Raw genomic sequence first — 18,875 nt, 5'->3', positions numbered from 1 at the left:
TTCAATCTAGGGTGTCTAGCATCCATCTAAAAAAATTTCAGAAAAAAAACACAGGGGAGGAGATTAACAAATAATAAATTTCCCAGAGCTGAAGGCACTACATACTCAGCATAATTAATGAAAAAAGACCCTCATGAAGACATTAATCACTAGACATTTCAGACTGCTATGGATAAAAAGGAGAAACAGGAAACTTCCAGAGATGAAGGGAAAACCATAAAGTAAAGAGACTTACCAACATCAACATTTTATACTAAAAACCAATGGAATAAGCTTCCAAAGTTCAGTGGAAGTAAATTTCAACCTAGAATTCCATACAAAATCCAGTATAAAATACCAGAAGTGCAAATCATAAATGTACAGCTCACTGAATTTTTGCAAAGTGAATACATCTGTAAAAAGCATATAGATCAATAAGCAGAATATTATCCCTCGGGCATCTTTCCAGCCACTCCCCACAACCCCACCCCACTAAAGGTATTGATATTCTCACCTTTTTTTTTTTTTTTTTTTGAGACCGGGTCTTGCTCTGTCTCCCATGCTGGAGTGCAGTGGTGCAAACTTGGCTCACTGTAGCCTCAGCCTCTTGGGCTCAGGCAGTCCTCCCACCTCAACCTCTTGAGTAGCTGGGACTACAGGGGCGTGCCGCCATGCCTGGCTAATTTTTAAATTTTTTGAGAGATGGGGTCTCATTGTTACCCAGGCTGGTCTTGAACTCCTGAGCTCAAGTGATCCACCCGCCTTGGCCTCCCGAAGTGTTGGGATTACAGGCGTGAGCCATCATGCCTGGCCTCTGATGTTCTTTTAACCGCATAGGTTAAATTTTGCCTGTTTTTGAATTTTTGTTTGGGTTTTTTTTGTTTGTTTTTGAATTTTATACAAATGTAATCATACAATCTATTCTCTTGGGTCTGGCTTTCACTCAACATTAAGTTTGTGCGTTGTTGTGTAATTACTGTTTTTTCATTCTTATCACTAGATAGCATGGTTCTCAAACTTTTTAGTCAGAATCACTTCTTAAAAATAATTGAGGGTCACAAAGAGCTATATGTTTATGTGGGCTGTATAATAGATAATTACCATTTTAGAAATTAAAACAAATTGTTCAAGCACAAGAATATACAAGCACAAATTTCACTGGCCTTCAGAGTGATGACATCACATTATGTAGCCTCTAGAACATCACTGTATACTTGTGAGAGAATGAGTGAAAGTAGAACAAATTACATCTGAATATTATTATGAAAATAGTACATATTTCAAACTCCTTGAAAGGGTCTCCCTGTGAGTCCCTGAATCACACTTTGAGAACTGCTGCTCTACAGTATTCCATTGTGTGAAAACACCACAATTTATTTAGCTATTCTGCTGTTTGTGGACATTTATCTCCACTTTTTACCTGTTGCAAATAGTTTTACTTTGCACATTTTTTTTTTTTTTTTGAGACGGAGTCTTGCTCTGTCGCCCAGGCTGGAGTGCAGTGGCGCGATCTCAGCTCACTGCAAGCTCCGCCTCCTGGGTTCATGCCATTCTCCTGCCTCAACCTCCTGAGTAGCTGGGACTACAGGCGCCCACCACCACACCCAGCTAATTTTTTATATTTTTACTAGAGATGGGGTTTCACCATGTTAGCCAGGATGGTCTTGATCTCCTGACCTCGTGATCCGCCTGCCTCAGCCTCCCAAAGTGCTGGAATTACAGGTGTGAGCCACCGCGCCCGGCCCCACTTTGCACATTCTTACAGTACGTGTCTTTTAGTGAGCATACTATGCATTTCTGTTGGGTATACGTACTTAGACTTGGGATGGATGGGTCATCAATTCAGTTCTGAGTGGAGATTTTGAAATATCTGTAGGAAATTCAAGTGAGATTGTTAACAGGAAGTTGGAGGTGTCTGTCTCCACAACTTAGTAAAGAAGCCAATGTTGCATATTGAAATTTGGGAGTAGGCCAGGCATGGTGGCTCATGCCTGTAATCCCAGCACTTTGGGAGGCCGAGGCAGGCTGATCACGAGGTCAGGAGATCAAGACCATCCTGGCCAACACAGTAAAACCCCATCTCTACTAAAATACAAAAAAAAAAATTAGCCAGGCGTGGTGCCGCGCACCTGTAGTCCCAGCTACTTGGGTGGCTGGGGCAGGGGAGTCGTTTGAACCTGGGAGACGGAGTTTGCAGTGAGCCAAGATCGCACTACTGCACTCCAGCCTGGCAACAGAGCGAGACTCCGTCTCCAAAAAAAAAAAAAAAAGTAATTTGGGAGTCATCATTATACAATTGACAGTGGAACCAGAAAGTTTGCATAAGATTGTCCAGAGCAGAATAAGTTGCGTAAAAAGGGGACCAAGAACTGAACCTAGGGGAATATCAACATGTCCCTGATGAATATAGGAAGGGAAAGCCATGACTGAGAAAGAAGGGTTGGCTGGAGGTAGGAGAAAGTTGTCATTGTGGAAAGGTTGTGTAAAATGTTGGAAAGGGTAAATTGGGCTTTGCTGTGGAACTCATTGTTCACTTTGGTGAGTGGATATTCAGCAAGAATGTATTGAGCTTGTCCATGCGTCAGGTACTGTTCTAAATGTGGAGGGGAGGTACAGCAGTGGACAAACAGGAAAAGATTTTTTCTAAAGATAGGTGATCCTTAGATATGTATAGTGATGGGAAGAGGGAGAATTTGGAGACATGGGAAAGGCAAAGCAAGGATCTTTTCCCACCTTCTCTGTCAGATGAACTCCTCATCCTTATGTCTTGGTATATGAGGCCTTTTTCAGGTAATGAATTTTGTTAGAATTGTTTGTGAGCAAGAGGAAGTCACTTCTGAGCAAAGGCCTGAGGGCCGCCTGTAAGAAAAAGTTTGGGCTAGGCCGGGCGTGGTGGCTCACGCCTGTAATCCCAGCACTTTGGGAGACTGAGGCAGGTGGATCACCTGAGGTCAGGAGTTTGAGACCAGCCTGGCCAACATGGCGAAACCCCACCTCTACTAAAAATTAGCCAGGATTGGTGGTACATGCCTGTAGTCTCAGCTGCTCGGGAGGCTGAGACAGGAGACTCGCGTGAACCCGGGGGGCGGCAGTTGCAGTGAGCTGAGATGGGTCCACTACACTCCAGCCTGGGTGACAGAAGGAGACTCCGCCTCAAAAAAAAAAAAAAAGAAAAGAAAAAGAGAAAGTCTGGGCTTCTTGTCAGCCCTTTAGGTAGTTCTGAGACCCTTTTCACTGACTTGTAGATTGCTCAACAACTTTCTAGAAGATCTGACCTCCAGATAAATGAGGTTTTACAGGATTATGTAATGTCTATTTGTGTCTCTATAGGACAGTGAGCTGTGACAGCTTAGGGAATGTCAGTCCATTTAAAAGCATAACTATGGGAATTAGAAATTGATAAATATTGCAAAATCTCATTTTATTTATCTAATTGTTTTGAGTAGCCATTCCACAGATTTTGAAGTACACCGAAACTGGCTTGCTATCACTCACAGTTTGCCAATATCACAGTGGTATTATGAGGTAAGTTTTAATTTTCACCTTTTTTTTTTTAAGATTCATCTATAAACTAGGTAAATATTACTGATATTAAAAATGTTTTCTGGCTGGGTGCGGTGGCTCACGCTTGTAATCCCAGCACTTTGGGAGGCCAAGGCGGGCAGATCATGAGGTCAGGGGTTGGAGACCAGCCTGGCCAACACAGTGAAACCCTGTCTCTACTAAAAATACAAAAATTAGCTGGGTGTGGTGGTGGGCACCTGTAATCCCAGCTACTCAGGAGCTGAGGCAGGAAAATCACTTGAACCTGGGAGGCGGAGGTTGCAGTGAGCCGAGATCGCGCCACTGCACTCCAGCCTGGGTGACAGAGTGAGACTCTGTCTCAAAAAAAAAAAAATTTTCTTGCAATCATAGATCTAATTAATCTTTATAAAAATTGTGGTCTCTTCTCAGTTCTGTCCTCTTGCACTACTAGGGAATCCCCTTACTTCAAAATGAGTTTCCCAGTCTATAAATTGGGAGGTATAATATCTACCACACTTTTTGAAAGAATAGTGGACTGGGAAAGAGGAAGAACTGGATTCTTAGGCCTGGCTCTGCCACTATCTAGTTACATAGAGAAAAGATACTTCATGTCTCTGGGCCTTAGTGTCTCATCTGGCACATGAGGATTTGGAGTGAATTATTTCTAAGATCCTGTCTGTTCCTAATGTTTTGTGATTTTGTGAGGAAAGGAATAATCAAATGTGATGTGTAGACATCAGGTAATATACAAACCATTCTCTCATATTGTTTATAAAAACTATGTCTGTATTTTTATTTCTTTTTCTTTTCCTTTTTTTTTTTTTTGAGACAGAGTCTCGCTCTTGTCACCCAGGCTGGAGTGCAGTGGCACAATCTCAGCTCACTGCAACCTCCGCCTCCCGGGTTCAAGCGATTCTCCTGCCTCGGCCTCCCAAGTAGCTGGGATTACAGGCGCCCGCCACCATGCCCCAGTTAATTTTTGTATTTTTAGTAAAGAGGGGGTTTCCCCATGTTGGCCAGGCTGGTCTCGAACTCCGGACCTCAGGTGATCCACCCACCTTGGCCTCCCAAACTGCTGGGATTACAGGCGTGAGCCACTGCACCCAGCTTGTATTTTTGTTTCTGGTATGAATTACTAAACTGTGTGTAATACTTTATGAAAAACAGACATTACTCCAGAAATTTCTTCTTTTTTTTTTGAGACGGAGTCTCGCTCTGTTGCCCAGGCTGGAGTGCAGTGGCGCGATCTCTGCTCACTGCAAGCTCCGCCTCCCAGGTTCACGCCATTCTCCTGCCTCAGCCTCCTGAGTAGCTGGGACTACAGGCGCCCGCCACCATGCCAGGCTAATTTTTTGTATTTTTAGTAGAGACGGGGTTTCACCATATTAGCCAGGATGGTCTCGATCTCCTGACCTTGTGATCTGCCCGCCTCGGCCTCCCAAAGTGCTGGGATTACAGGCGTGAGCCACTGCGCCCGGCCCAGAAATTTCTTGATGAAAAGCAGTACTCTGCTGACAGGGAGTTGGATTTTGTTTTGTTTTCTTTTCTTTTGAGACGAAGTCTCACTCTCACCCAGGCCGGAGTGCAATGGCACGATCTCGGCTGACTGGCGACCTCTGCCTCCTGGGTTCAAGTGATTCTCCTGCCTTTAGCCTCCTGAGTAAGCGATTCTCCTGCCTTAGCCTCCTGAGTAGCTGGGATTACAGGCACCCACTACCATGCCCAGGAAATTTTTTTTTTTTTTTTGTATTTTTAGTAGAGACAGGGTTTCACCACGTTGGTCAGGCTGGTTTTGAACTCCTGACCTCAGGTGATCCACCTGCCTCGGCCTTCCAAAGTGCTGGGATTACAGGTGTGAGCCACTATGCCCGGCCCAGGGAGTTTTTTTTAAGGCAAATTTTTTGCAAGTTTCCTATGAGTTTCGATACCATATATAGTATTTTATATGTATATATAAAATGGAATACCATAACCCATGAGGTAGATACTACTATCCCTGTTGTATAGGTGCAAAAAGTGAGACTTAGGCTGGGCGCGGTGGCTCACGCCTGTAATCCCAGCACTTTGGGAGGCCGAAGTGGGCGGATCACGAAGTCAGGAGATCGAGACCGTCCTGGCTAACATGGTGAAACCCCGTCTCTACTAAAAATACAAAAAATTAGCCGGGTGTGGTGGCGGGCTCCTGTAGTCCCAGCTACTCGGGAGGCTGAGGCAGGAGAATGGTGTGAACCCGGGAGGCGGAGCTTACAGTGAGCCAAGATCGCGCCACTGCACTCCAGCCTGGGTGACAGAGCAAGACTCCATCTCAAAAAAAAAAAGAAAAAGAAAACTGAGAGAGAAATCTAACAAAATATACTATTCTAAAGCTTGTATATTTTCATATGATTTCTGTTTTCATTTACTCATTAGCAACTGTTCCTTTAACTAGTGGTTATTTTATCCCAAGCAATATGTCAGGCACTTACTAAATGCTGAGGATACAAAATGATAAAGGATAGTTTCTATTCTCCAGGATCATATAACTTACTGAAACAAAATATAATAGCATTTGTGTATTATTTTGTTGTTTATAAATATATTTCATATGTATTATCTCATTTAATCTTCATAATACCTCATTTTACAAATAGGGAAATTGTGTCTCTAAGACAGAATTTGAACCTAAGTTAGTGAATTATTTGTTATTTAGATGAGTAGAACCATGTCATAACCAAGTTTATCATCTCCAGGTTTCAAATTAATTTCCTTTAAGTGTAGTTGACTCTATTTAAGGAAATTGAAGACCATGTTAAATAATTTACAAGACAGGTTTTAGTGTTCTGTTCAGTCTTACATAGGAATTGTTCTATTAATTTAGGGCATATTTTAAGTGCAACAGCATTTCACTGTGATTTTTGTTCGTTTGTTTTTAATTAAAAATAGAGACAGGGTTTTACCATGTTGCCCAGACTGGTCTTGAACTCCTGGGCTCAAGCGATCTGCCTGCCTTGTCCTCCCAAAGTGCTGGGGTTACAGGTGTGAGCTACCACGCCCAGCCTTATTGTGCTGTTTTAAAGACCAGAGAATGAAAAATTTTAAATCGTTGCACCATCTTTGTTTATTCAGTTATTTAGGATATGTCTGATCTTCTATTTTTATCACAGGCAACTTCAGAGTGGACGTTGGATTACCCCCCTTTCTTTGCATGGTTTGAGTATATCCTGTCACATGTTGCCAAATATTTTGATCAAGAAATGCTGAATGTCCATAATTTGAATTACTCCAGCTCAAGGACCTTACTTTTCCAGAGATTTTCCGTCATCTTTATGGATGTACTCTTTGTGTATGCTGTCCGTGAGTAAGTCTGGAGCATGTCATTTTGTATGGAAGGTATTGAAAAAATAGTACAGTGTTAAGTAGTATTAACTTACTCCCAATTTAGGAGGAACAAAGTTTATATGATAGCAAATGCTAAAACAATGAAAAATTGTATTGTGCTTTAAACTACATGTTTAAAGCACTCTAGCTGAATCTTGTGGAAGAAATGGGGATAAGGTGGAGTTACAAGGCAGAGGTAGAACAAGAGATTATGAATGTTGTGAAAAGAAGTAGTCCCAAGTATAGTTCTAGGGCCATTTCTCCCACCCAGAATAGCTCCATATGTTTTTCTTTGCTTCCTTGCAGCAGGCCGCCAGAGGCTTCCATCACCTACCCTATCTTAGGGTATGCACACAGTACATGCACAGTAGCGCACACGTATGGATTGTGCTAACCACCAAAGTCTGCTTTTACGGAGCTTTCATTCTAGTAAACTCAAGAAATTTCACTGAGTGCTTTTAGTTGTTTCCATATACTTTCCTTCATGAAGACTCTTTGTTATTTTAAGTTATGCTTATATTTTAAATTTTTATGTTTTACAACTTTTACTTATAAGTTAATTTTAAGTATTGAATACACATATATAGAATGTCTTGCACAGTGACTTCCAAGTACTAAGTTTCAGTTAATGTCAGTTTCCATTCTTTCCTAATTCTTTTTTTTCTTTTTTTTTTTTTTTTTTTTTCTTTTTTTTCCCTGAGATGGAATCTTGCTCTGTCGCCCAGGCTAGAGTATTGTGGCGCGATCTCGGCTCACTGCAACTGCCTCTCGGGTTCAAGCAGTTCTCCTGCCTCAGCCTCCCAAGTAGCTTGGATTACAGGTGCACACCACCATGGCAGGCTAATTTTTGTATTTTTAGTAGAGACAGGGTTTCACCATGTTGGCCAGGCTGGTCTTGAACTCCTGACCTCGTGATCCACCCGCCTCGGCCTCCCAAAGTGCTGGGATTACAGGCATGAGCCGCTGCACCGACCTCATTCTTTCCTAACTCTTAAGCTCGCTGGTGTGATTGTGACAGAACAGTGACTGGTGTTCATTCAGTGACCCTTGTCATAAATGGATCGTTTCTGTTTGTGAGGCCCTCTACACTGAACCCTTGCCCCACTCAGTAAAGAGTCCCTTGGGAATGTCTTTAACCCTTGCGCATTCTCATTGAATAATCCTGTTTGAAACCCTTCCTTTCAATCTGTTTATGACCTGGCAAGAGTTGAAAGGGAAGGTAATTTTTAATATACTCTTTTTAACTCAAAATGTTTGAATTCAAGCTTCCAGGGGAAGAGTATACAAGCACAAAGGGAGAGGAAATAGAATTCATTTCCATCTGCAAAGTAGAGGGAATAGTTAAAAAGATTGTTGAAAGGCCAGGCATAGTGTCTCATGCCTTTAATCCCAGCACTTTGGGAGGCCAAGGCTAGTGTATTGCTTGAGCTCAGGAGTTTGAGACCAGCCTGGATAACATGGTGAAACCCTGCCTCTACTAAAAATACAAAAATTAGCCAGCTGTGGTTGCCGGGGACTGTTGTCCCAGCTACTTGGGAGCCTGAGGCAGAGGATCTCTTGAACCTGGGTGGTCAAGGCTGCAGTGAGCTGTGATTACGCCACTGCACTCCATCCTAGGCGACAGACTGAGACCCTGTCTCAAAAAAAAAAAAAAAAAATTGAAATCTCTGTGTCAGTTCCCAGAACCAAGCATGATATACAGATTATTAACTTATTTAATTTTCTCAGTGACCCTGTAAGTTTACTGCCTCTATTCATGAGGGAACTGAGGCTCCATAGGGCGAAAGGAGGATACCTTTGCTAGTCCCCCTTTAATTGCATCTATTATTTGTTTTAGATTTATTGTTAAAATTTGCCACTCTTCAAATGTAGCACATTTTCAATATCGTCTTTTTATAGAATAATACATCCCCATTGTAAAAACTTTGGAAAAGCACACACACATGCAAAGTAAAAATGAGTCATACTCCCCCACGTATACTAATCACTATTAACATTTTGGTGTATGTTAGTTCAGTCTCTTTTCTGTGTTCGAATATAATTTTCATAAAATAAAAATAGGATCTTACTGTTTTGTCACCTGTTATTGTCACTTAGTAATATATCTCAACATTTAAATGACATACATTTTTACATAAAGGTTTTTAAATTATAATTTGGACAGTCAGGAGGTGCACATTTGCAGTTCTGTTCTTAATTTGGCTGGTATTATGATATATAATTTAGAGTGTTAAATTAGCCTGGTCTGCAGTTTTTACTCTTAAGGACTGAAATAATGTATGCTCTCTCAGTTTTCAAAATCCTTACTTTGGGGTTTACGTGGCTTTTTATTTTTAATTTTGTTAAATGAAGACTTTGTTTTAGATCAGCACAGCTTAGAAAAAGACGTGGAACAGGCCCCGAGGTCCTTGTTTGTGCTACCATTTTTTCTTTTTTTTTTTTTTTCTAGTGAGAAGGTCTTACTATGTCGCCCAGGCTGGCCTCAGACCCCAAGCTCAAGTGGTCCTCTCACTTCAGCCTCCTGAGTAGCCAGGCACCTGCCACCCTGCTCGGCTTGCTGTGACCTTTTTAAGAAATAAAGAATGGCATGGACTTTGGGGTGCCAGGGCAGGAGGATTGCTTGAGCCCAGGAGTTCGAGATCAGCCTGGGCAACAGTGATACCCCATCCCTTCTAAAAAAAGAAAAAGAAAAATTGGAAAAAAAAAAAAAAAAGAATGGCATGTAGTTTGTCAGGAATGACTAATGTATCATAGTTTACTCTGCAGAAGTGATGTTCCGATGAAGATCAAAGTTGTTTCTGTTTCTTTCCTAATGTTTCAATGTAGGTGCTGTAAATGCATTGATGGAAAAAAAGTGGGTAAAGAACTTACAGAAAAGCCAAAATTTATTCTGTCGGTATTACTTCTGTGGAACTTCGGGTTATTAATTGTGGACCGTATCCTTGATATTCTATGTACTATTCCCTTACTAATTCTGATGTATACTAATACAAGATTAATGTTTTCTATAATAATGATTGGAGATGTGAGCTCCTTCTGAAAATGAGTGTGGGGTGGGTTAGTAGGCTCACTTAACTGTGGTCTCTGCCCAACTTCACTGGACTCTGAGGTTAGAGTATTTCATTTCTGAAAAATTAGTGGGATATGTGAGAACCAGCTAAATCATCAATAAAACAATGTACTGAGATTGTGAACTATTTTTAGATTAATCTGATACATATATATTAAATAGTTTTGTAACACATTATTCCAAATACCTTTAATTGGAAAAGGCATATCACAGTGTGCGTGTGGGAATGGTCAGGCATTTGTGCTTTTCTACCATCTTGGCTTACCACATATTAAAAGGCAAAGTTTTTAAATTCAAGGCTTCTGGATGTAATTAAAATCCTTGTAATGGAAACTAATAGTTGCAGTTTTCATAAAGGTAGCCTGGTGTGGAGGAAAGCACCCAGCCTCTGGTTTCAATGTAACCTGGACCCAAATCTTAGTTGCCATTAGCAGCTTTAGAACCATGAGTAGATGAATGTCTCTGAGGCTTAATTTCTTAATCTCTAAAGTATCTCTAAAGAGGAAAATTCTAAATACCTCACAGGTTCATTGTGAGGCTTAATACATAAGATTGTATATGTCCTATAAACAATGCAATGCTGCATGCTGGTGGCCTTAGTAGCAGTTAGGTCCATTCCTTTCTCATCCCTAATTCTAAAAAACAAAAAACTTCTTGCCCCTGAGCTGCGGGGCCTTTAAGGTAGAAAAGGTAGGAAAAACCTGGGAAAGTTTTGTTTTTCTTCTTAAACATAAATTTGTTTTTAAATAAAAAAAATTTATATATTTTAAATCATCTAGTCTAAGATGTCATTAAACATAAGTTTCTTTCCTTTTCTTTTTTTTTTAATTTGAGACATTCTTGCTCTGTCACCCAGACTGGAGTGCAGTGGCACAATCTCAGCTCACTGCAGTGTCCGCCTCCTGGGTTCAGGTGATTCTCATGCTTCAGCCTCCCGAGTAGCTGGGACTACAGGTGTGTGCCACCACATCTGACTAAGTTTTGTATTTTCGGTAGAGACGGGGGTTTGCCATGTTAACCAGGCTGATCTTGAACGCCTGGTCCCAAGTGATCTGCCCATGTCAGCCTCCCAAAATGCTGGGATTACAGGTGTGAGCCACCACACCCCCAAATGTAAGTTTCAATTAAAGATCTGACTATGGTGTTTGCTTCAGCAAAATTGGAATGATACAGAGATTAGCAAAAATAAAAATATGTGTTTAGGCCGGGTGCAGTGGCTGACGCCTGTAATCCCAGCACTTTGGGAAGCCAAGGTTGGGGAATCACGAGGTCAGGAGTTCGAAACCAGCCTGGCCAACATAGTGAAACCCCGTCTCTACTAAAAGTACAAAAAAATTAGCTGGGTGTGGTGGTATGTGCCTGTAGTCCCAGCTACTCGGGAGGCTGAAGCAGGAGAATCGCTTGGACCCAGGAGGCAGAGGCTGCAGTGAGCCAAGACTGTGCCATTGCACTCCAGCCTGGGTGACAGAGTGAGACTCCATCTCAAAAAAAAAAAAAAAAAATTAAAAAAAAAATTTGAATCTGTTTATAGAAAACATATTTATGAGCAGTCCACATTAGTAGTAGTATTTTTTGTCTTTAATTTTGCTATTAAAGCATTTGGAATTTCTATACTCCATCAGCTGGTATAGTTCATTATGAATTTGGTGTCCTCTGTTGTCTTTCCTTGACCTAAGTCCAGATATTCATTTTCAGTACAATGGCTTTTTATTTGGATTAATGCTACTCTCCATTGCACGATTATTTCAGGTAAACATAATTGTTTAATTAGATTTTTTCCCTTTTAGATTAGTTTTTAGATTGTAAAGGGAACAGTGTAGTGGGTGATAGGTAAATTTATTTGACTGTTTTGAGCTGCCAAGTGCGATAGACACTTTTATTAGGTATTTCTCACAAATTCCATCTTCTCTTTTGACCATAATTTTCTTCATTTAACAGATGAGACAATTGTACTCCAAAAGCTTGTTAGCATGCGGCAGGCCTGAATTAAATTGAGTTTTTGTTTGTTTGTGTTTTGAAACAGTCTCACTCTGTCACCCAGACTGGAGTACAGTGGTGCAATCTCAGCTCACTGCAACCTCTGCCTCTTGGGTTCAAGCCTCATGAGTAGCTGGGATTACAGGTGCACACCACCACACCTGGCTAATTTTTGCATTTTTAGTAGAGACAGGGTCTTGCCATGTTGGCTCGAACTCCTGACCTCAAGTGATCCTCCTGCCTCGGCCTCCCAAAGTGCTGGAATTATAAGCATGAGCCCCTGTGCCTGCCCTAAATTACATTTTCTTTGCTTTTGTTTTTTTTTTTTTTTTTTTTTTGAGAATGAGTCTCGCTCTATCGCCCAGGCTGGAGTGCGATGGCACAATCCCGGCTCACTGCAACCTCTGCCTCCCAGGTTCAAGCAATTCTTGTGCCTCAGCCTCCCAAGTAGCTGGGATTACAGGCGCCCACCACCATGCCTGGCTAATTTTTGTATTTTTATTAGAGATGGGGTTTCAACATGTTGGCCAGGCTGGTCTCAAACTCCTGACCTCAAGTGTTCCGCCCGCCTCAGCCTCCCAAAGTGCTGGGATTACAGGCATGAGCCACTGTGCCCAGCCCCGAAATTACATTTTGTCTGGTTGGGATAATTTATGTACAAATGAAGTCTCTAGCAGCAGTCTTTACAATATAATAACTATGATAGTGATACTTTACTGTCAGCAGCATGAAGATTAATGTAATAGAAAGGGATTTGGAATCAGAAGAACTGTGTGTAATCCTGACTAATGTTAATGAGCTATGCAACTCAGGGCTTACTCAAATACATGGCTACTAAGATTACATACATTCCATGTATTTTTTTTTCTTTTTTTTTTTTTTTGAGACGGAGTCTCGCCCTGTCTCCCAGGCTGGAGTGCAGTGGCGCGATCTTGGCTCACTGCAAGCTCCTTCTCCTGGGTTCACGCCATTCTCCCGCCTCAGCCTCCCGAGTAGCTGGGACTACAGGCGCCTGCCACCACGCCCGGCTAATTTTTTGTATTTTTAGTAGAGACGGAGTTTCACCATTTACAGTATGGTCTTGATCTCCTGACCTCGTGATCTGCCCACCTCGGCCTCCCAAAGTGCTGGGATTACAGACGTGAGCCACCGCTCCCGGTCTTTTTTTTTTCTTAAGAGTTGGAGTCTTGCTCTGTCACCCAGGCTGGAGTGCACTGGCGCAATCATGGCTCACTGCCTCCTCAAACTCCTGGGCTCAAGCAATTCTCTCACCTCAGCCTCCTGAGTCGCTAGAATTACAGGTGCACACCACCATACCTGGCTAATTTTTTTTTTTTTTTTTGGTAGAGAAGGAGGTTTCACTATGTTGTCCAGGCTGGTCTTAAACTCCTGACCACAAGTGATCCTCCCACTCTGGCCTCCCAAAGTGCTAGGATTAGAGACAGGTCTTGAACTCCTGGCCTTGAACAATCCTCCTACCTCTGCTTCTGAGTCTCTGGGATTACAGATGTGTGCCACCACACCTGGCTTACATATATCTTATTGAGTAAACTTCAGAACCATTCTGTGAAGTTGTTAGAATTATTATTCCTCCTATAGAGGAGGAAATCAGAAATTCAGATTTTGGGGCCATCCCTTTGTACATGGAATCGAAGTCTCTGGGAATGGGGCTTAAGACTCTCTAAGGAATTTTGATACACCATCAGGCTTGAGAACCATTAACTGAAGGCAAGTTATTTAACCCTCCTAGCCTCATTTTCCCCATAAAATGAAATTTACCGCTACATTCTTAGTTGTAAAATGGGGCTACTTACCTCACAGGGACATTGGAAAGATCAAATTTGATAATCTAAAGTTCTTTGTCAACTATAAATGTCTGGATAAACTTTTCTCTTTTAACCATAAAAAGCTTCATAGTAATTAGAATATAACTGGTGTTCAATGAATATTTGTTGGATGCTTATTGAACAAATAAAATTTGACTATGGAATCAGCTAGACCTTACCCAGATCTTAAATAAGTTATAAAATTGAAGAGAGACCTAGAAGCATTCCCACTCTTTTTTGTTATTACTCCTAAAGCTACCAATTCTAGACCGCACCTGATGAGAGAAGGAAACTGGCCTTTCATGGTCCCTGTGGCAGTTTCCCCTGCAGAACATCAGGACTGTTATCTCATTTAATCCTTCCGAAATTCCTGTGAGGTGGATAGATTTCAGACTTTCTTTTTTTTTGAAGACAACGTCATGCTGTGTCACCCAGGCTGGAGAATGCAGTGGTGGAGTCACAGCACACTGTAACCTCAACCTCCTGGGCTCAAACAGTCCTCCTGCCTCAGCCTCCAGTTAGCTGGGACCACAGGTGCACACCACCACTCCCGGCTAATTTTTTGTATTTTTACTAGAGACGGGGTTTCGCCATGTTAGCCAAGATGGTCTGGATCTCCTGACTTCGTGATCCACCCACTTCAGCCTCTCAAAGTGCTGGGATTACAGGTGTCAGCCACCCCACCCAGCCAAATTCTTACTATAACTTCTTAGTTATAGTAAGCTGGTTTTGTTTTGTTTGTTTGTTTGTTTGTTTTGGAGATAGCATCTTGCATTGTCACCCAGGCTGGAGTGCAGTGGCGCGATCTCAGCTCACTGCAACCTCCACCTCACTGCAACCTCCACCTCACGTGATTCTCGTGTCTCAGCCTCCCAAGTAGCTGGGATTACAGGCACCCACCACCATGCCTGGCTAATTTTTTGTATTTTTAGTAGAGACAGGGTTTCACTATGTTGGCCAGGCTGGTCTCAAACTCCTGACCTCAAGTGATCCACCCGCCTCGGTCTCCCAAAGTGCTGGGATTATAGGCATGAGCCACCACGCCTGGCCTTTGTTTGTTCTTTTTACATCAGAATACCTTTAGTTTTCCTAAGTAGTGTTTGTATCAAGTGCAGTGACTGGTGCCTTCAGCCTGATAGTGCTATATAAGTTACCTAATCTACAATATAAAATTCAATTGATTTTTTTGGTAGCATAGCATCCTATATATTTGTTCATGTTCTCATTCCCAGCCCTTCTTTGGAAATCAACTCCAGCTATTCTGAAACTGTGAGGGGTGAAGGTAATTTAATTCTCTGGGCTCTAATTCCTAAAGGAGAGTTTGCAGTATGTTATTACTGATGACATGTAGGATATGATCTCAGCATAAGGCTTAGTATGTGATAAATCTTTGTTGGAATAGTGAATTTATGAACACATTAGACTCAGTATAAAAGCTAGCTGGGCTGGTCGCAGTGGCTCATGCCTGTAATCCCAGCACTTTGGGAGGCTGAGACAGGTGGATCAGTTGAGGCCAGGAGTTTGAGACCAGCCTGGCCAACATGGTGAAACCCCATCTCTACTAAAAATACAAAAAAATTAGCCAGGCGTGGTGGTGGGCACTTGTAATCCCAGCTACTTGGGAGGCTGAGGCAGGAGAATTACTTGAACCCGGAAAGTGGAGGTTGCAGTAAACGAGACCGTGCCATTGCACTCCAGCCTGGGCAACAAGAACAAAACTCCGTCTCAAAAAAAAAGCTAGCTGGAATCACTTGCCTATGTTTTCCTTATACTGGTTATAGAATATTTACCTTGGGCCAAGCATGGCGGTTCACGCCTGTAATCCCAGCACTTTGGGAGGCCGAGGCAGGTGGATCACCTGAGGTCAGGAGTTTGAGACCAGCCTGGCCAACATGGTGAAACCCTGTCTCTACTAAAAAATACAAAAATTAGCCGGGTGTGTTGGCACACGCCTGTAGTCCCAGCTACTCGGGAGGCTGAGACAGGAGAATTGCTTGAACCGAGGAGGCGGAGGCTGCAGTGAGTCAGGATTGTGCCACTGCACTTCAGCCTGGGTAAGACAGAGGGAGACTCCATCTCAAATAAAATAAAATAAAATAAAAATTTAAAAAAGTAGGTATTGTTTATTTTTGTTATTTATTTATTCATTTTGGAGACAGGGTCTCACTCTGTCACCCAAGTTGGAGTGCAGTGTCGTCATCATGGCTCATTGCAGCCTCCACCTCCTGGGCTAAAGCAGATTCTCTCACCTCAGCCTCCAGAGTAGCTGGTGCTACAGGTGCAAGCCATCACGCCTAGCTAATTTTTTTTATTTTTTATTTTTTTGTAGAGACAGGGCCTCCCTATTTTGTCCAGGCTGGTCTTGAACTCCTGGGGTCAAGCAATCCTTCCACGTCGGCTTACCAAAGTGCTGGGATTGCAGGTGTGAGTCACCACACTTAGCCTAATTTTAGTTTTTTAAATAACCTTTTTGTAGGATAATTTTAGCTTTCCAGAAAAGTTGTAGAAATAGTACAGAGAGTTCCTATATATCCCTCACCCATTTTCCCCCATTACCACCTTACATAACCATGGTACATTCATCAAGACTAAGAAAGCAATATTGATGCATTTGAATTTCACCCGTTTTTCCTTTAATGTCCTTGTTCTGTTCCAGGATTCAATCTAGAATACCACATTATTGCATTTCATTTACCCTGAATTTTAAAGTGATATTTCCCTTTTAAATCTCCTAGAAAAGGCATATGGAAGGAGCATTTCTCTTTGCTGTTCTCCTACATTTCAAGCATATCTACCTCTATGTAGCACCAGCTTATGGTGTATATCTGCTGCGATCCTACTGTTTCACTGCAAATAAACCAGGCAAGTTTTGGTAATAATAGCAAAAACATTTTCGATTTTTCCCTTACTGTGTTGACTTGGTGGCTTGCTTGATAAGAAGGTTTTATGAAGCACAGCAGATATCTCAGCTGCTAATCCTGTAAGCCCTTTACCCATTCTCGCTTTTCTCTGCTCTTGCCACATCATGAATAGATTGGTATACTATTGTGGGATACTTCTAGTTTTAGCACATGATATAGGTTATGGTTAATGTTCCTTTCCATCTTCCTGGTTACTGATAATGTTCCTTTTCTGTAGATGGGTCTATTCGATGGAAGAGTTTCAGCTTTGTTCGTGTTATTTCCCTGGGACTGGTTGTTTTCTTAGTTTCTGCTCTTTCATTGGGTCCTTTCCTGGCCTTGGTAAGCCTTTTTTTTTTTTTTTTTCAATTAATACATGTTCTTTGTTGGTGTTTAGAAAACCTAATAAAGCCAGGAATATGTAAAATAAGTAAAAGCTACTTTTTTCTTACTCCTTACCCAACGTGACTCCCCAAAGATAGGGCAGTATTCCTTTTTTTTTTTTGTTTTTGTTTAAGATGGAGTCTCACTGTGTCGCCCAGGCTGGAATGCAGTGGCGTGATCTCGGCTCACTGCAACCTCCACCTCCTGGATTCAAGCGATTCTCCTGTCTCAGCCTCCTGAGTAGGTGGGATTACAGGCACATGCCACCATGCCTGGCTAATTTTTGTATTTTTAGTAGAGACAGGGTTTCAACATGTTGGTCAGGCTGGACTCGAACTTCTGACCTCAGGTGATCCACCTGCCTCAGCCTCCCAACGTGCTGGGATTAAAGGCATGAGCCACCGCTCTTGGCCCGATAAGGTAGTATTCTTTCAGACATTTTTGTGCACATTCAAATATGTATATATATATACATGTATATGTTTAACTGTACATTACACATACACAAACACAGAATTGATCTTCATTATTTGTGTATTCTGTACTTGTAAGTTTACTTACTTGATAAAATGTATTTGTAACAAAATCAATAATTTTGCAGTCTTACATGGACAGCAGACATTCTAAAGTGCATAGAATTTAACAGATGTTCAGATGTTTTCTTTCTTCCTCTTCTTCCCTGCCCTGAAATCAACTAATTAATTTTAATTCTTACTAAAACTGAAACGCGTCACATCTTTTGTAGTTTCCCAGCTCTCCCCTTCACCCTAGTAGACATGGATAAGCTGCAGTCTGTGTTCTGCTTTGTAGCTTGTAAATTCTTCTGTTATTATAATAGTATGGACGGGTATTCAGAGTATTTTTATGTATATTGTCCCACTGGACAGTGGACAAAGTGAGACCAAAAGAAGGTTCTGTGAACTTACATTGTGGTGAGCATATAACCACTTACTTACTAGAACCCAGACCCCATAACTTTCTACACACTATACCATAGAGAGTTCCCTAGTTCTCTTTTTGAATTTGAAAAAGATTGATGACTGTTTAATCAGTTTCATTTCTCTTTTCAACAGAATCAGCTGCCTCAAGTCTTTTCCCGACTCTTTCCTTTCAAGAGGGGCCTCTGTCATGCATATTGGGCTCCAAACTTCTGGGCTTTGTACAATGCTTTGGACAAAGTGCTGTCTGTCATCGGTATGGTAGCGAGCATTTTTTACTCAGACTCTGAATATTGAAAGGACTTAGGCACATGGAGAAATGGAAAAACCTTTGTGTTTTGAATGTGGCTGAATTGTTTGTTCTCCAGTCCTGCATTTCAGCTTTCAGGATGAACAGGGGGAGCAGTTCTTGGGACTGAGGCTTTAGTGCAGTAAACAGACTGTTTTCCTTATAAAAGCTCCTTGTGGTAATGAGGTTATTGATCCTTTCCTGGGGAAAAAATAAAATATGTAGACACTCTATAAAGGTAATTTTTGCCTTAATTAAAAAACTATTCAGCAGCAGCAGTTAACCCTGCTTTTTTTCCCCCCTTCTCACCATTCCTATTCAAACCCCTACTTATTTTTAGAGACAGGGTCTCACTGTCACCCAGGATGGAGTGCAATGGTGTTGAGATCATAGTGCACTGCAGCCTTAAATTCCTGGGCTCAAACAGTCCTCTTGTCTCAGCCTCCTGAGTTGCTGGGACCACAGGTGCATACCACCACACCTGGCTGATTTTTAAATTTTTGTTTTTTAGAGATGAGGGTCTCACTATGTTGCCCAGAGTGGGATCAAACTTCTGGTCTCAAATGATCCTCCCACCTTGGCTTCCCAAAGTGCTGGGATTACCAGCACAAGCCACCATGCCTGGCCTAC

The 18,875-nt window shown here is 41.8% G+C and overlaps 1 protein-coding gene across 32 annotated transcripts in view, besides 1 other annotated feature; it reads left to right on the top strand.

The window, feature by feature from the left end:
* ALG8 (ALG8 alpha-1,3-glucosyltransferase) overlaps positions 1-18,875 on the top strand; it is a 38,681-nt gene that overhangs the window by 8,765 nt on the left and 11,041 nt on the right. For 19 of the 32 annotated variants that reach the window (NR_189148.1, NR_189149.1, XR_001747956.2 and 16 more), the window contains 7 exons: positions 3,426-3,504; positions 6,648-6,841; positions 9,688-9,797; positions 11,613-11,680; positions 16,470-16,596; positions 16,873-16,976; positions 18,092-18,212. Coding sequence is in view for 29 of the 32 variants with exons in the window: in NM_001425243.1 (NP_001412172.1) it covers positions 3,426-3,504; positions 6,648-6,841; positions 9,688-9,797; positions 11,613-11,680; positions 16,470-16,596; positions 16,873-16,976; positions 18,092-18,212 (803 nt within the window). In the remaining 3 variants the exon portion in view is untranslated. Of the gene's footprint in view, positions 1-3,422; positions 3,505-6,647; positions 6,842-9,687; positions 9,798-11,612; positions 11,681-16,063; positions 16,157-16,469; positions 16,597-16,872; positions 16,977-18,091; positions 18,213-18,875 lie in introns of all 32 variants that reach the window. The other 13 variants (NM_001425235.1, NM_001425226.1, NM_001425236.1 and 10 more) reach the window with 11 other exon arrangements.
* Positions 1,036-1,854: an enhancer, noted in NCBI's record as "H3K4me1 hESC enhancer chr11:77840054-77840872 (GRCh37/hg19 assembly coordinates)". NCBI's record gives its function as "activates a minimal SCP1, AML or CMV promoter by ChIP-STARR-seq in naive H9 embryonic stem cells {active_cell/tissue: H9 hESC(naive)}" and the evidence as "EXISTENCE:reporter gene assay evidence [ECO:0000049][PMID:30033119]".

The sequence above is a fragment of the Homo sapiens genome, chromosome 11 (genome assembly GCF_000001405.40).
Source record: "Homo sapiens chromosome 11, GRCh38.p14 Primary Assembly".
Taxonomy (NCBI): domain Eukaryota; kingdom Metazoa; phylum Chordata; class Mammalia; order Primates; family Hominidae; genus Homo; species Homo sapiens.
This window is presented reverse-complemented; position numbering and strand designations above follow the sequence as displayed.